The 18,484-nt window shown below is 34.0% G+C and overlaps 1 long non-coding RNA gene across 1 annotated transcript in view; it reads right to left on the bottom strand.

The window, feature by feature from the left end:
• Positions 1 to 242: 242 nt before the first annotated feature.
• Positions 243 to 18,484, bottom strand: part of LOC105370245 (uncharacterized) — a 79,468-nt gene continuing 61,226 nt past the window's right edge. The window contains exon 3 of the long non-coding RNA XR_942035.1: positions 243 to 338. This is a non-coding gene — a long non-coding RNA (uncharacterized LOC105370245). The remainder of the gene's footprint in view (positions 339 to 18,484) is intronic.

Genomic DNA, 18,484 nt, shown 5'->3' with positions numbered 1-18,484 from the left:
AAGAACATTATGACTGTATGTCAGATACCATGGTAAAAACTAATTTCAATTACTATTTTAATTTTAATTATGCTTCAGGACATGAATTTGTATTAATAGATCAAAGAGGAATAACATAGAATGAATGAGTTAAATGGTCTCAATGTCAAATAGAAAAAGCAGAATATTAATAAAAAGTAATCTAGCCAGAGTTGCTTATCTAAAGACATTTCTCTATAGCACATCTTGAGTTTTACCTTTTCTTCTTTCCTTTCTTCTTCATCATCAGGCTTACTGAAAATAACAGCAAGTTGCCAGATAAGATTTTCTGGATCCATCATTTGTAACAGTATTTCATTCTGTATAAAGTATATTGGAGGTAAAAATAATCACACTGAAAATCAGACTTTAAGTCTCCCAAAGTCCTCTTATTATGGATATTATATGAACTACTAAAATTTAATTTATAAACATCTATATACATTAACTAAATGTTTAAAGACTTATGAAAGTATAAAAACAAAATTCTCACACAATAAAGAAAGTGCTCTTACGGCAAATGACTTCCCAAATCTGATATTACATACTCAGCAAATGGAAGTTCTCTGGAGCACTCAATCAAAGCAATAACAGAAGTTGCCTTGTTGGGGCATTCTTTTATTACTGGCCAGTCCTTTATGCAAAGGAAATAAACTGTGTACATAGATAAGAGCAAGAGACAAAGAGAAATAGACTAAAACATTTTGATTAAAAAACCTTTCAGAATTGAAAATTATAATGTGACTAATGGCAATTTGTCTTAATGTTTGTTGTTCTAATGCTATTTGGAAAATGCCAGTCGTTATTTAAGATAAATTACCAAACATGGTGGCTCAGAAATATAACCTGAGGATATATTTTAAAATGTTGATATTGGATAGTCTCAAAATTGTTTTACCATTTAAGAAATATCCCTGTGATAGTTCTCTCTTGCCATGCTGCATGGAGAATGGTTGTAAGTACACATGATGCCTAGCTGAAATTTTCTGGTTCCAAAGCTCAACAGAAACTGGCAGAAGCTAGTTACCATGTTACCTTCTACCAAGTGCCAGACAGATATTGGGGTAAATACCCCAGTAAGTAAAGCATATGGATACCTCTATTTTGACTTATCTGGCTAACTATAATGCACTTTAAGATATTTCAACAAAATTTATCTGGCAGGAAATTAATTCTGGAAGACATTTTTATCCATAAAAAACATGGATTATTAGATCTGAAAATCTGAATATAGCATTGTCTCTAGGCTGACATCCAGCATGTTCAGGAATGCCACACTAATCAACTTCCCTAGAAATTTTATTTGAACAAAATACAAAAAACTTACTTCAAGGAAATTAGGTATAAGGAAAAACTTACTTAAGTATTAGGGGAAAAAGATCATTTTACTGAAAAATGAGTATTGGCTAACCAAGTATTGGATCCATTTGCATCCACGTGAATATTGAAGATGGAGGAGACCAGAGTCATAACTAAGGAAGGGAAAAACTTCACATCCCCATCTTTATATAACCTATACCAACACCATCTTTCACAATTATGACAAAAGAACCAGGGACACAGAAGATGTAAAATACAACATGTTGATAAGTAAATAAAAAACAAAAACAGAGTGCACTTTTTAATAAAAATACCATGTAAATTAGCCTCTAATCTTCCAAACAAAATCATCTGAGGTGATTCTATTTCTTGACTTTCACCTAGATATGCAAAAATTTGCATTATTATGTATGGGAAATTAAAGGAGTTAGGGACAATAACTGTAGACAAGTCTGAAAAAGAACTAAGTAAACATGGGTTCCTTTTGGAGATGTGGAAGAGCTTTATCTAGATAAAGCTATATCTAGATATGCTAGATAAATAGCATTAGTTCAACAAAGCAACCATATCTGATAATTGTCTGATTATTTATTTTTCAATTGTAATGATAGTAATTTTGCTATTAATTTTGGGACGATTGAAGAATAGTCTTAACCACCAATTTTCTCTATTAGAAGATTCTTCTGGGTCTTCTCTATTTTCAGCTGGCTTACTGATAACTCTCTAAGGAACGCATGAATTCAATACCATTGTTTGCTTAGGAGTCAACATTTTTGGTCAACGTAGTAACTGAAAATTGAAAGAAAAAATTGTTTCTTTATGTGTAGGTTTATGACAGAAGGGATAGTGTTAAATCATTAGGAATATTTTGATTAATAATGATAATAAGCAAGCATACTGAATATTTATGGTATGCTACACACAATTCTAAGTGCATTGCATGTTTTTAATACTAACAAAAATGTAGTTAGGTGCTATTGTTATCAATATTTACAGATCAGCCAGTTGGCCACTGGATTGATAAGTAACTTGTCCACTGTCACACAACTAAGTGCAGGAGCTAAAAATTAAACCCAGATATTCTGCATTTAGAGATTTCACACCTTATTGCAAGGTGAAATCCTCTGATATCTATAATTTTATTTATGAAGGTAATTTTACAAATAGACGTACTTGATGGTTTTTCCATATAATAAATATTTTCACTTAAAATGCTGATTTATACTCAGTAGAAAGTAATCTTAATTACTTTCAAGAAATTTTAATTTTAAAATTATATTTATTTCTATTATCCTTTATTATTTCAAACAATCAAAAACTAGAAAGCATAATTTAGGAAAAAAAGTGTATTTCCTGTATGTGGCTACTTCAACTGTGTGAGTACAATGAAATTCATCTCCTGACCGCTAAGTTTCCTTGTTTTCAGATGGCCTTTTTTCAACTGATTTTATTTACTTTCAAAGTGACATTTCAACAGAGGTATCCACTCTCATTTCCACTCTCCTTTGACATTTCTGTGACTTAGAGTGCAAGAAGCTGCTTGCCAAAGACTTGCTAGATTGATGTTGGGAGGAAAGAAAAAAAAAAAACCCTGCAGATAGCAGATGTTTCTTTTCTTCTTGTTGAGCCTATTACTTTGAAAAACTGACACTGCTTAAAAACAGATTTCAGATATTCTGTCTTTTTGGCAGCAAGAGTGAATGTGTTGCCCAAATGGAAGAAGTATAAGTATTGTCCACACAGGCAAGTAGAAGCCGGAGGATGGAGGAATGAATAAACTCTCAGTAATGGTTTACTTTTTTCTCTGTCAATGAGTAATTTAATACAAGAAGTCTCTAAGTTAACTGGACGGGTAGCTGAGTTATCCATTTCAATTTGACCTTGCATTGATATGGCTAAGATTCTAAATAGCACTTTATTTGATGTATTTGCATTGTTTTCATTCTCATTTACTAAGTGACATATGGAAAATATTTCAAACTTCAAACATTATTGCTTAGATTATTTGAAAGAAGGGTACATTTTTAAAGTCATAAGTAAATAATTAGCAAAAATTTATGAGATTATTATTATCACCACAAAAGACATCCAGCAGATATGTATTAGCATAAGTGCTCTTGCACAAATTATTAAAAAACAAAACAAACAAACAAAAAACTCTTTTCCCCAGATATACTACTTGGAAGAAATGGTTCCCTCTATGGGAAGACAAATTAGTCAAGGACATTTGTACTTCCAGGCTAAATGCAAACTTATGCAGAGCCTTGAAAGACGGAGCATGGGCTGGCTTGAAGCCCCTACATGGGTTCTACCTAGCATATTTGGGCAGGACACAAACTGCACAACTGAATTTTATAGCCCTGCAAATAGAATAAAGCATCTACCCAGAGATTTTCAAAATTTTTCTTATTTAATTTTCTCATACAGATTTCACATGCCATGTTCTGTGTGCTTCAAGATCCGTAAAATAGGTTTAAAGGATCTATGAATGGCAAAACTGTTGACTTGAAGACCAACTAGAGAAGGTTCAAGAATGCTATGGCAATTGTCATGATGTGTCCACTGTGCATTTTCCTTCTGGCTCCCCGACCTTCTCAGATGTTTCAGATAAGAGTTTTTGTTAGCTAATAGATCAAGTTGTATTATGGAAACCATTGCAGTCTAATTTCATCTGTGTTTATGAAAATCTTGCATATATTCTACCTGTATTGTATTTTACCTAAGTTATTAAAATATAGTAGCTGGTGAACCAAGACTGTTGTTATTATTGTCATTATTCTTGTCTTTTTCTCCTCCTCCTTAACATTAGTTATAACTTTTCTTTTTTTTTTTTTGAGACGGAGTCTCGCTCTGTCCCCCAGGCTGGAGTGCAGTGGCGCGATCTCGGCTCACTGCAAGCTCCGCCTCCCGGGTTCACGCCATTCTCCTGCCTCAGCCTCATGAGTAGCTGGGACTACAGGCGCCCGCCACCACGCCCGGCTAATTTTTTTTGTATTTTTAGTAGAGACGGGGTTTCACCATGGTCTCGATCTCCTGACCTAGTGATCCGCCCGCCTCGGCCTCCCAAAGTGCTGGGATTACAGGCGTGAGTCACCGCGCCCGGCCTATAACTTTTCTTAAGACTATGTAATAGTAATAAAATGATTCTTTTATATATGCAAGTAAAATCCTGGCAAGTTTTTGAGGCATTTAATATACTCACATATGCTGCTGTCCCTTCAGAATGAAAAATTTTGCAAAATGGTGATTTTTTTTTTCCATATAGAGCTCAGGATCTTATGGCAAACACAGGATAGAATCACCAAACTTCTGCAGATTCAAAGTTAGAGAAATATTTGGGTCTATAGTGACCCTACAGAAGATTTAGTGACAGCAAAACATAGAAGTCCAGTGAAATAAAATTTTATTGAAGAGAGAACAAGTCTCGGTTGGTGACTTAGTTTTAAAAATACTTAAAGTAATTTTTGCAAAGAACTATTTACAGCAAAATGTTTAATCCTGCAACTTGAGTGAAAGTATCCTAGCCACTGCCATCTGGATGGTATTTGAGCTTTAGGGAAAAGTGATTGAGCATGTAAGTAAGAAACAGAGAAGTCGATTTTTTAGACTAAGAAAGTTTTCCAATAGTTCTGCTCTGGAGAATGGGCTGTCTGTGCCATACCCATAGTACACAAAGGATTCATAAGGATATGCTGCTTTATCAGCAATCCTATGCAACAGGAAAATAAAACAGTGAAAATGGATTTGTCATACAACAAATGTCCCTCTTTTTGGTGTGTGAAAGCAGAATGGGCTTTTTAGATTTAATAACCCAATCAAGTTTTCTTGTTTGTTTGTTTTAACAATAGGGTAGGGACAACCATGAAGAGGAAAATACCATACTTCCTACTAATAAGACAAGTAATGGCAAGAGTGATTATTCAGGGAAAAAAAGAAATATGAATATATTTACTTCAGATTAATGTCACGAGTCATTTATCATTTTATCTGTATAAATTGCTGTACTCTTTATCTTGCAATTCTGTAAAATTACAAAGAATTATGTCTTATACTACTAAGGTTCACTGTGTAATTATAAAATACAAAAAAATTGTAAAGATGATATTTCTACCTCTGAAAAGGGCATTATAATAAGATTCTACTGCGATACAGAGAGTTGTGTCGATTGACTCCTTATTATTATCTTGTTCACTGCTATCCCTTCCCTCTCCATCGCATGTCTCTATCCCACAACAAAATAAATCAATAAATGAAAGATTTATTGAATTTTAATTGTTGGAAATATTTTCCCAAAAAGTTTCATTACAAAGTAATTTAAAGTGAAATCCTGAATCATGTGCAGTACTCTTTTTGAATTTGAAGTTCTGACTAGTAGAGTGTGTTATTCATGTAAAAGACCAAATTATTTATTTTATGATACCATTAGATTTAAATGTAAGCCTAACAGACAGCAAAGCACTGAATGTGTTTAAAAATGCTATTTGAAACCCATAAAGGTATGTGTGTATGCATCTGTTTGTATGTATTATATTTATGAACCTTATTGGCTGATGTTGAACAGTTGCAAAGTGTACGAGCTATTGGTTTAATCCTGTTAAGCTTTAAACTCAAACAAATCTTGTGTATCTTACATATTTTATGTAATCACTTGTAACAGTGTGTAAAATGGCAATGTATGTTTAATGCTATCATGTAAAATATTCTATCTTGGAAATATTCCAATTAAAAGTAAACAGTTTTTCATGGATCAAATTTTATTCTTTAAGAATGAAAGCATTATCCAGCTTTGACCTAAACTCACTTTGTTATCAGAAGCTAATTCTCACACTTGACAAAGTGTTATAAAAATTATTTTTCACATGTTAAGTGGAAAATAAAATAAACTTAAATAATAATGGCATATGTATGTATTGCTGAGGACAAAGCAAGCTGTGCATATTTTGCTGATATTTTAAAAATGCCATAAAGGGAATTAAAATTCATAGATCAATTAAGGGTTTCTTCCTTTTAGGTAAATCAAAATTAAAAATAGATAAGGTCTCCAGTAAAAGCAAGTATAGCATTAGATAATTATATTACAAGAGTACAAACACTAAAAAAGGGTAAACTGGGAAGTTCATATATTTAAAAGGTATAGCATTTAGTAAGAAAAATGCATTACATATCACATCCTCAGAAATTCAAACATGGTCAGTGTGTAGTAAATGTTGGATGAAGGAGTGAACAAACTTATTGAAAAAAAAAATAACTGAGGCCTCAGATCTGGTAGAAATCACAGGTAGTAATGACAAGAACTGCAAGGTAGAGAGTTGGATGCTTTGTGGGAGGCAGTAGGAATAGCTAGTGGCAGAAATACTAATAAAGAAAGGGATTATTGGGAAATGGGAAATAAACACGAATTATGGCAAGGAATTAGTGGTTGTAAGAGATTAAACTTTTTTGCGTAATATTAGAGAATATTAGGCATTTTAAAAGGCAAAGGAAAGTTTCCTATGGAGAATCAGATGTCTCAGAAGGAAAGAATTGAAAAAGTAAACATTTATTTGCACTCATATATCTTCTAAAATTAATATTTCAACAGAAACATGAAAAACACTCTAATTTTATGTCTGTGGATAGTCCAACTAAGCAGTTCCTTACTTCTTGATATCTGAAAAATAATTATTAGATTGGTTTTGGCTTGTAGAAACATAGGATTTCAGAAAAGCATAAAATAATTCTGGGAGAGAGAGAGACACACACTCAGAGAGAGGACAACTGAACAAAGTTAATTAATAAGAGACTCAGGAAACAGCATTTTGAAATATATCCATGGGTACCCTGTGATTTAACTATAAAATTTAATTTTAATTTACCCTTATTTTACCACACCATTCCATAATTCTGAAATAAATAGTTGTCCCTATTTAATAGTATACCCCCAAAGGCGTGACCCTGATTTCATCTTCTTCCTACCTACAGCTTACCTTAAAACAGACCATGTGATGTTTCTGTAAATGGTTCTGGTCATTGATATGTGAGTATATGGTTATTTGTGGTGAGCAGAAAAGGGATTATGCAGTACCTAGGCCTGGTAGGGTATAATTATTATTTTTGAATGCACATAAATGTTAAATAAAATATTTTATTTCAGCATTTATTTAGTCCATTAGGCATTAAAAACATTTATTATCAACATGTGTTATGTAAGCACTGTCTGAGATACAGGTCATAAAATGGTTAACAAAACTTGAAAAAGAATGGTACTAGAGCATTTTTATGATAAGAGAAAATAAACTATAAAATGAAATCCAGTCAAAAAGAAATAAAATATAAAGAAAAGTTGTTAAAAAAGGGATGAAAAGGCTGAATAGAAAACTATCTTAGTCAGAAACTAACAAAGTAAAAGTTGAGATGAAAAAATGATAAAATAGTATTCAGAAGAATGGACCAGAAGAAAGAATGTCATATAAAACAAGGAGGGGCCACCATGCACATATAGGTACGAAATAGTCTCACAACAAATAAAACAACAACTTATGAAATGGCAGGGAAAAATAGAGTAATCAAACACTGTAGTGATTGATTTTAACTCACATCGCTGAAAGTGTGACTAGTCTTATAAAATAAAGGAAACAAATAAGGATAACTTAAAAAAAGATAAAATTGTTATTATTTGCAAACGTCAGGTTCACCTACATGAAAAAATCAACTCAGCCGACAGAAAAAGTATCAAACCATATAAAAAGACTGAGTGAAGTTTTTGAATCCCAAATCAACTTTAAAAATCAATAAAATGCTTCTACACAATCAATAACTAAATAGAAAATATAATTTTTAAATGATATAATGTGCAATCGCAAAAACAGAAATAAAGTAAATTAAAATAAAACAAACAACAGCCACCGATATTTCTAGGAATTAAAGTATATACTAGAACAAAGAGAAAAATAATTTTAAAATTTAAGCATAACAGAAGTTTTGAATAAGTAGATATCCCTAGCTCTCAAATAGTCTGACTTATAATATAAAGCTGACAATTCTTTCTAATATAATACATAAAATTTAATCAATTCCAATCAAAATTGTCCATAGATTTTTTAGGAAGTCAATAACTCATTCTATAATTAACAGCTAAATATATTTTGAAAAATAATTTTATTTACCAAATATTAAGACATATTACAAAGCCAGGTAAATAAAAATATAATTACAAGTTGTGCAAGTATTGGCATACAGACGAATTGAACAGAATCTGAGGAGCTTAAAATCTGAACCACATATATGCAGAAATCTACATATATAGGAAGAAACACAATCAAATCAAAAATAGACTTTTGTTGATGATGAGAAAACCTGGCTTGTGTATGCACAAAAAATGAAAAATGGACTACAACCTAACACCATATAAAAGGTAAGCTTAAGGTTGATTAAAACTTGATTTGGTTAATATAGAATGTATATATATATAGAAACATCATACTGTATCCCACAAATATGAACAATTACTAAGTATTCATTAAAACAAAAGAAGATTTTTAAAAAACAATGTTGGAGCTAGGGTTTAGGGAAGAGTTTTATTTTCATTTGTTTGTTTTTTTCTTATTTTGGGACCACATTTTCAGTAATTATTATGCTTTTGCAAAAATAGAATCACATCAAAAATTTTATTTTTATTGTGAGCCACAAAATAAAAAAAAACTTTTAATCTGCTTATAAAAATAACCTGAAAGGTGAGAGGTGAAATTATTAACAGAAGTTAATTTAAGAAGATATTTATGGTTGACCAAAATGGAAGAATTTTTTAATATTTCCAAACACAAAAGTGGGGCAAAGTATTAGACTGTATTACATTAAAATTAAGAATTTGTTAAAAAATATTTAATGGAGTCTTGATTCTTGTTATAATTCGAGCACATTTATAAAAGGTGAGTACATTTTCAAAACTTATCAAACTCTATACTTAAAATGGGTGTATTGTATCCAATTTATATTTCAATAAAGTTGCTATCTAGAAACAACACCATGAATAAAAATAAGAGAGAGATGATAAAGATACTTGTAATTTCGAAAACTGACAACATAGCAATATCTAGAATGTACTCAAAAATCCTGCTACAATTGTGATAGCAAAAGAGACAGAAATATTAAGAAAATGGGCAAAAGTCATCACAGAAGGGGAAACACAAAAGACTAAGAAAAATATTGTTGAGAATATGCTCAAAATCATTATTAACTAGAAAATGAAAATTAAAATACAATAATAAATTTCTTTATATCCACCAGATTGCCAAGTTTTGGGCAAGATTTTAACAGAAATTAAGGTACATTTCTAATAATACATCTAAACCAAACTGTCTGATAACTGAAATACCCCATTACCTAACAGTCATAGATTTCTGCTTCTGGTTATAAATAATCTAGAGAAATTTTTAGACAGATCCATAAGGACATTTTAAAATATGTTCATTGCAGTATAGTTTAATATAGAAGTGAGTTGGAGGCTATCTACATGTCACTGTAGGAAAGAATAATCAAAATGTGCTGGATGCATTATACTGTTATTGAGCAAAAAATAAAAAATAAAAAAACAACAGAAACATCTCACTATATGTAAAGATAAAATATTAACAAATTCTATAAAATATAATGTTAAGTTTTAAAAAAACACTTTTGTCATTGAATAAACTTTTAAAAAAACATTTACTCAAAGTGTATTTTACTAGAATACATACAAATAAAAGATAAATATCAGACACATTGGAATGACAGCCAATGATGTGACAAGGAGAATGGGAAAGTGAAATGAAGACAGCATGGAATGAATGAACGAATGAATGAATGAATTAATTAATTAAAAGAGAGGCCTTGGACAGGATAATAATGATATATTTTTGTAAAGTAAAAAGAATTATTAACTGAACATTCTACCCACTGTCACTCTTCCTTTTTTTTGCTGTGAAATGAGTTCCTTTATGACAATATTGTGTGGAACGCAATGACACAAAAAAACATATTCTTTAAACCCACGGATGGTGGTTTTGGCAGAAGCATTGTGTGCAGGAAAGGCAAATCCATATTCAAAGTGTCGATTCCAGTAAGAACAAAATACTGCCCCGTCCATGATGGAAGTGGTTTAGTGTAACCAACGTGCCACCAGGTAGCTGGTTGATCTATCAAGTGAACAGTTCCACACAAGAGACTCAGAGTTGGTCTCTGCTGCTGGCAGATTAGGCACTTGGTGTGGCTGTAACCAGGTCAGCCTTAGTGAGTGGAAGTCCATGTTGCTAAGCCCACTTATAACTTTCATCACTGGCACCATGGCTGATTTGTTCATGAGCTCATTGGGTAATGACAAGGGTTGCTAGGGAAAAGGGCTGACTGGTGCCCACAAAATGGCTCATCCTTAATTATCACTTAATTATTAAAATCCTCTTCGTTTGAGATCATCTGTTGGTGGGAACTTGACATTGCACACATGCATCTTCACATTTGTTGCCCATTCAGAAAGGGCTATCCACATGTTTCTTCTTCACTTTTCCTTGGTACTAACTTTCCAGTTATGTACCTTCCAATTCCCTGAATATCCATCCAAACCACTGGCCATAGCCCATGAAGTGGTTTATAATCACATGTCTGTCCATTTCTTCTTCCAGGCAAAGTGAACAACCAGGTGCACTGCCCAAAGTTCTGCCCACAGGGGAGGATTTCCTTTTACATTTAACATAAATTACATGTGCCTTTAGTGCTATCTCAGGCCCAACATATATACCACTTCCATTTGACAACAGAGTTCTGCTGTGCATGCCCAACTTTATGGCTTGATGGATCAGATAAGACCCAGCTCATGATGGGCAGCTCAGGTTGTATGGTAACTCACTCAGTAGCCCATGGTTAAGTGTTGTTTCCACTAAATCCCAGTAGCAGGTCAACAGTTGTTTCTCAAGAAAATTAGTTATCCTTTAGCAGGATTTTGCTACAAAATCCTAAGAGCCGCTGTTGTGATTCACCAATAAAGGCTTGTCAAAGGCTCCAAACAGCATCCTTATCTGCCACTGACACTTCAACCGCCATTGGATTTGTTGGATCTTATGGCTTAAGTGACACAGTGGCTTTCACAGCAGACTGGACTCATTGCAGAGCCTTCTCTTCTTCTGGGTCCCAGTTCAAAACTAGCAACTTTGGGGAAGACTCAGTAAATTGGATGTAATGACACACCCAAATGAGGAGTATGTTGCCTCCAAATTCCAAAGAAGACAACTAGCCATTGCACTTTTTCCTCTTTTTGGTTGCAAGAGGAGCCAGATGTAACTGTTTATCATTCACTTTGAAAGGGATATATCATCTCACCCCACACCACTGGACCCTTGGAAATCTCACTGAGACAGAAGGTGCCTGAATTCTAGTCAGATTTAATTCCCACCCTCTGGTATTCAAATATCTTACTAATAAGCATAGAATAGTTGCTACTTTTTGCTCACTAGGACTGATCAACATAGTATTATTAATGCTATGGACCACTGTGGTATAATGTGGAAGTAAAAGGTGACTAAGATCCCTATGAACTACATTATGGCATAGGGCTTAAGGGTTGATATACCTGTGAGGTAGGACAGTAAAGATGAATTTCTTTCTAGTTAAAAGCAAACTGCTTTTGGTGGGCCTTATGAAAAGGAATGAAGAAAAAACATGTTCCAGGTCAATAGCTGAATACCAGGAATTAAAGGATGTGTTAATTTGCTCAAGAAAAGAAACCACATCTGGTACAGCAGCTGCAATTGGAATCACCACCTGATTAAGCTTATGATAATCCACCATCATTCTTCAAATTCCATCTGTCTTTTGCACAGGCCAAATATGCTAGTTTGGATGGAGATGTAGGAATCGTCACTCCTGCATCCTTCAAGTCCTTGATGGTGGCATTAAACTCAGCATCCTTCCAGGAGTGATATTTCTTTGATTTACTATTTTCCTAGTTAGAGGTAGTTCTAGTGGCTTCCATTTGGCCTTTTCCACCATAATAGCCCTTACTGCACAGGTCCAGGAGGCAATGTGGGAATTTTTCCAGCTGCTGAATATATCTATTCCAATTATGCATCCCAGAAATGAGAAAATAACTACAGGATGGACCCATAAATACACTGGGCCTGCTGTAAGATGAACCTCAGCTAAAACTGAATTGATCACTTGAACTCCATAAGCCCATATGCTCACTGGTTGGTCACAATGATGTTTTGGATCTGCTGAAATTAGTGTAAGTTTGGAGCTGATGTTCAATAATCCCTAAAATTTCTGATTATTTTCTTCTCCCCAGTGCAAAGTTACCCTCATAAAAAGCCACAGGCTCCTATGAGAAAATCTGAGAGAAAGATTAACAGTATAAATTTTCTGTCGTGTATCAGGGTCCTTCTTCAGGAGAACCCAACTTTCCCCTTATTCAAGGAGTTGGGGTCTGAAAATTCATCTAAACAACGGCTCATGTCTGGAAATTGATTGAGGGACCATTACTCAGTTTTTAGATTCAGGCTAGATTTTTATTCACTTGACCTAAAAGTTTTCTGCTTATACAGATCAAATGAAATGTAGTAGGCTCTAGTAGGCTATTTCACTTGTAGGAGCACCATGATCAATTTAGCAATAACATAGGTCTGCATGAGTCAGATTATTCTGAAGCTGCTTTGACTGTGCTATTATAGTAGCCACACCCATCTTGTTTTTGGAAGTTGAATGCCACCATTTGGCCACTCCCACCTATGATTAAATTATTCCCATTGCATTTAGGTTTTCTAATTCAGTGACTGCAGATCCCATTGTGAGATTAGACCTACAGAAATCTACAGTAACCACAGAACTCTTCAAAGGTGCTAGGGTTCACCAGGTGTGTGTGAACATGAGTTAAATGACAAAGCACTCTAACATTTGAATTTCTCTAAGCCTTTGAATCCCTTTCTCTATATTGAACCAAAGCATTTCCAGAATTTCCAATTTTCTCACTGTGGCCTACCTTCTGATCTATATTTGGCCAACCAAAGAAGTAGATTGTGAGAGTCATTTCTAACTTTTAGATATGCAATATTAAATGAAAAATCTCTGCTCATTGAATGCATATCAATAAGTTAAGCCTTACCTAACTTTATTTTCCTTCTACCATTTTCCCACACCCTTAGTATACATTTACACACATGCTCCCCACATTTGTCAGTATAAATTATAAAACTCAAAAAATTTCTTTGGTGCATAGCGTACCTCTACATGGGTCATACTTTGTACTTCACCTTTAAGGGCCTGCTGGGACTTTATGTCTAATAATAGGTCTAGAAGCAAAGAGTGGTGGTAGGGGCATGTCATGAGGAAAATCGGAATTGTCTTGCATTGCAATTGACTTGGGATGGGATGAGGGGGCCATTACAGAGAAACAGAATTTTAAATTTGAATTCTCTGAATAGGTTCTGGGGTTTCTGGAATTGGTTCTCTAACCTGATAAGAGTTGAAAGAAAGAGGAAGTGGAGAGAGGGAAGAGAGAAAGAGAGGGAGATAAATTAACGGATTACACAAGCCTAGAAGTCTCATGATTCACCATCTGCAAGTTGAAGACTCATGAAAGCCACTGAAATGATTCAGTCTAAGTCAGAGAACTTGAGAAGCAGGAAAGCTTATTATTTAAGTTCCAATCTGAGGGCAGAAGGTGATGGTCCCAGCTTATGCAGCTGGGCGAAAAAAAAAAGCAGCAAATTCTTCCTTCTTCTGCTTTTTGTTCTATTCAGGCTCTCCGTAGATTGTAGCCAAATACTGATTAGTCAGGTTGACACAAAATTACAATCGCACTATGTGACTCGAGTCTAGCCAATGGGATGTGAGGGTGAGGAAGACTTCCTAGGCACCTTGGAAATTTTTTATTTTCTGATAAAACAGCAAAAGTACACAAAGGAAAAAGTCTTTAAAAAATTAATTTGCAACTGCTACTCTTGCTTAGAGAGGTAAGAGTGGATAAAATGCTAAAGTTGCAGCAACTCTTTAGCAAATGTCAATAAGGACATCACCCACATGCTCACTTATCTATTGGAAGGATGGGAACATCTTGGGAAATCAATGGTTTCTTTAAGTCACAGAATAAATAACTTAGCCACCAACTTTGGAAATTAAGCAAACAGTAAATGTTCTTATGACTTAATCCAATTTTAACTATGGAGTCCTATATGTATAGCAAAATGCTCCAGATAAACTATATAATGATAATATTTTCATATTGTTCAAAAATTAAGGGTTGGTTTTCTTCTTTTTTTTGGCCCTAATGAAAATATATGGAAAACAACTTGTCTAAAGTGTAGTGCTGGGAGAAAGAACATAAAAAAACAAATATTATGAAATATGTCTTAAGATAAATAAAAATCATTAACAAATCACACGTTTAACCATAAATGTTCCCGAAGTATCTATTTTGAGACAAGCTGTCCTTTAGTTACTGAACACTGAGTATTGAATAAAGAGAGACAAAAACCATGTTAAAAATATATTTTTGTAACAGCTTAGTAGTAATAGGCACTTACAGATTACTACTACATTACTACTACATTATAGTAGTAATATTTTTAACAGTTTAGGTAATAATATGCACCATATAAAAATGTAAATATTTAAGAATTTATATATTTAAAAATATAAATAACATATATTAATATTTTAAACAAAAGAGTAACAAAATCAAGTTCCTTTGAAAATTAAGGTGGTAAAAAAAATCTCTGAAATAGCTAGGCATTATATAGTTTGGGTAATTTAAATGATATTACAGCTGTTAATATAGTGAACCTTATTTCTTTATTAGTCTTGAAGCAAAAATTTGTTAGAGTGCTAATGCCATGTCAGATGTCGTATCATCATGCAATTCAATGTTTGAACACACATTGTCAACATGATACATATCTGTAAATATAGAATACAACAAAACACTTATGCTATGAATAATGAGAGCATTGAATTGTTATTTGAAATCATTTATTCAAATCAGCACAAACTATATGCTGTAGAACATACCAATAAACACATTGTTGATATATTAAAAGTTCTAAGAAAAATAAGCATAGTAATAAAAATTGACATAATAACATTAAGCTTAGTAGCAAAAGAGTGAATTAGACTGTGGCCACTAATCCTTTCATTGACAATTAAATATGAGAATATTAGCTTATTATTAGTAGTATTCACTTTGGTAATTAATATCAATTTTCTAATGTCATTAACTACAGTGCCAAAATAGATTAAATTTTTTAACTCTTCAGAAATCATCACTTATGATATGCATAATACCACAAGTGAGAATAACAAAAAGTGATGTGAAATAATACATCTATCTTATTATTGTTCTGTGTTGATTTTTATGAACAACCATGAAAAAACATGTTTAGCTTATTAACTTTTCTATAAGAATAACTGACGATTTCTCTTTTGGAATGAGAGTAAAGTTTATCCAACCAGAAAGAAAAGTATGGTAACTACATTTCTCTCACTGATTCTCTAAGCTAAATATGCCGGTATTTCATCGTGAGGAGAAGAGTGTCTACTGTCAGGGCATCTAATCAGAGCCAGACCGGCTGCATGCCTTAGATGAAAGCAGGACAGGATGATCATGGCCCATGGCTGAATCCAGCTACACTTAATTCTTAAATGTACTTTTGTGCCTTCTTCTTTTAATGGTGCTTCTTTTGTTAAGAATATCATTCTCCTTTCCCCATTGCCAGAGGCGTTTGAAGCATAGTAACTCCATCTTGACTAGGAGCTAGGTAAATTGAGCCTGAAACCTACTGGGCTGCATTCCCAGATGGTAAGGCATTCTTAGTCACAAGATGAGATAGGAGGTCAGCACAAGATACAGGTCATAAGGGCCTTGCTGATAAAATAGGTTGCTGTAAAAAAGCCCGTCAAAACCCAGCAAAACCAAGATGGCCAGGAGAGTGACCCCGGTCATCCAAACTGATACACTCCTATCAGCACCATGACAGTTTACAAATGCCATGGCAACATCAGGAAGTTATCTTATATGATCTAAAAAGGGGAGGCATGAATAATTCACCCCTTGTTTAGCATATCATCAAGAAATAACCATAAAAATGGGCAAGCAGCAGCCCTTGGGGCTGCTCTAATGGACTAGCCATTCTTTTATTCTCCTTTCTTAATAAACTTGCTTTCACTTTATGACCTCACCCTGAATTCTTTCTTGCATGAGACCCAAGAACCCTCTCTTGGGGTCTGGATCAGGACCCCTTTCCTTAATACCATGAGATCATCACTTTTCATCCTTCTAGACCCAGCTGACAAATTGTTTCCATGAAGCTTTCACTAATTTTTAGCCATGTTAACTGTCCCCTGTACTATGCTTCCACAGCCCTTTGCTCAAACTCTTTTCGGTACTGTATTTATTACATTTATCTTCCAAACATACTCTTTCATGCTCTGCAGTGTAACATATTATTTATCTAATTTAAACCTATGAATCTCCCAGTTCCCCACAAAACATGAATATCCAAAAACTCCTATCGTAGATAAGAGTGGATAAAACATTAAAAATTGCAGCAACTCTCTAGCAAATGTCAGTAAGGACATCAGCCACATGCTCATGTATCTATTGGAAGGATTGGAACATCTTGGGAAATCAATGGCTTCTCTAAGTCACACTCAGCTTCCCAGAAGCTGATCTGACAAGTATTTCAGAGGAATTAGATGTCAGATAAGAGTGCTCTAAATTTCCTGCTAACAATTAAAACAACCTATCTTACAACCATCTCCATCCTCTTTTCCCTGCCTTTTGTAAAACTAAAGCCCTGTCCTTTGACTTTTATAACATCAATCTGTACCTGCATCTCAAATTCATTCCCTCATCCCTCTCATGAACTCTATAACATTGCTTCATTATTTTTCCACTTTGGGAATTCAACTTTGCCTCTGACTTGAAGATTCTGATCATCATTTCAATATGCTATATTATAGACAAATTTGTGCTAGTCAACACAATCATATACCCAATGTATATACTTTGTGCTTAAATTATTTGGCCACTCATGAGCATTATTCTTTAACATTACTCTGCTTTATAGAAAGATCCTGCATGGAGCGACGAGATTCTACAACTATGAGTCCACACCCTCCTATTCTGTTAATGTCATTTTTTGGAAACGAATTTTTGATTGATATCCTCATTTTGAGGTTTGTACTTCTGTATGCAGTCTTTAAATACTGGTAATACCAAAAGTTTCTTCCTAGAATGTCTTCTCAATCTGTATTCTTCCACTGGTAATTTCTCCCATGCTCTCTGTGCTATTTATCAAGTTGCTTTATACTTAATCTATAAGATAACACGTCCAATCACCTTCTTGACATTTCTGTTACCAGAAAAAGATCCCGATCCAGACCCCAAGAGAGGGTTCTTGGATCTCCTGCAAGAGAGAATTCAGGCAGAGTCTGCAGTGCAAAGTAAAAGCAAGTTTATTAAGAAAGTAAAGTAGTCAAAGGACAGATACTCCATAGACAGAGTAGGGCATTCCTGAAAATAAGAGGAGGAACACATCCGCCCTAGGCACAATGCTTGTGTGTGTGTATATATATATATATATATATGATAAAAATAGAACTTGGGGAGATGTGCTCTGCTACAAGGGTTTGTAATAAAGGATTAATTTTCTTAATTACTGTATTTTGCAAGAATTGATATTATTATCTTTAAAGCAAAATTAGGAATGCCTTTGTTCTCCAGATGTTGGGATATCTGGACACTCCCAAGTCTGGGTCTGTTTTAGTAAACATTATTAATTTGTTCCCTTAACCGTGAACATCTAGAGGCTAGGAATGCCTCATTTTCTGGGAATGCAGCCCAGCAAGCCTCAGCCTCATTTTCCTAGCCCTCACTGACAATGGAGTCCCTCTGGGTTTGAACGTCTCTGACATTTTTCCACTTGTATGCTTCAAAGGTACCACAAATTCTACAAGTCCAGAAAGGACCTAACAATCTCCCTTTTCCTTGTCACTTCCCCTGTTTGGGAAGTGACAAGTTATTTGTTCCAGTTATTTATTCCAGTTATTTGTATCTCAGTGAACAGGACCATTGTCCATCCAGCTTCACAAGTCAGAAATGTGAATGTTAACTGATTTCTCCCTCTCTCAGTGCCTTCCTATTCTA

Source organism: Homo sapiens, chromosome 13 (genome assembly GCF_000001405.40).
Source record: "Homo sapiens chromosome 13, GRCh38.p14 Primary Assembly".
NCBI lineage: Eukaryota > Metazoa > Chordata > Mammalia > Primates > Hominidae > Homo > Homo sapiens.
This window is presented reverse-complemented; position numbering and strand designations above follow the sequence as displayed.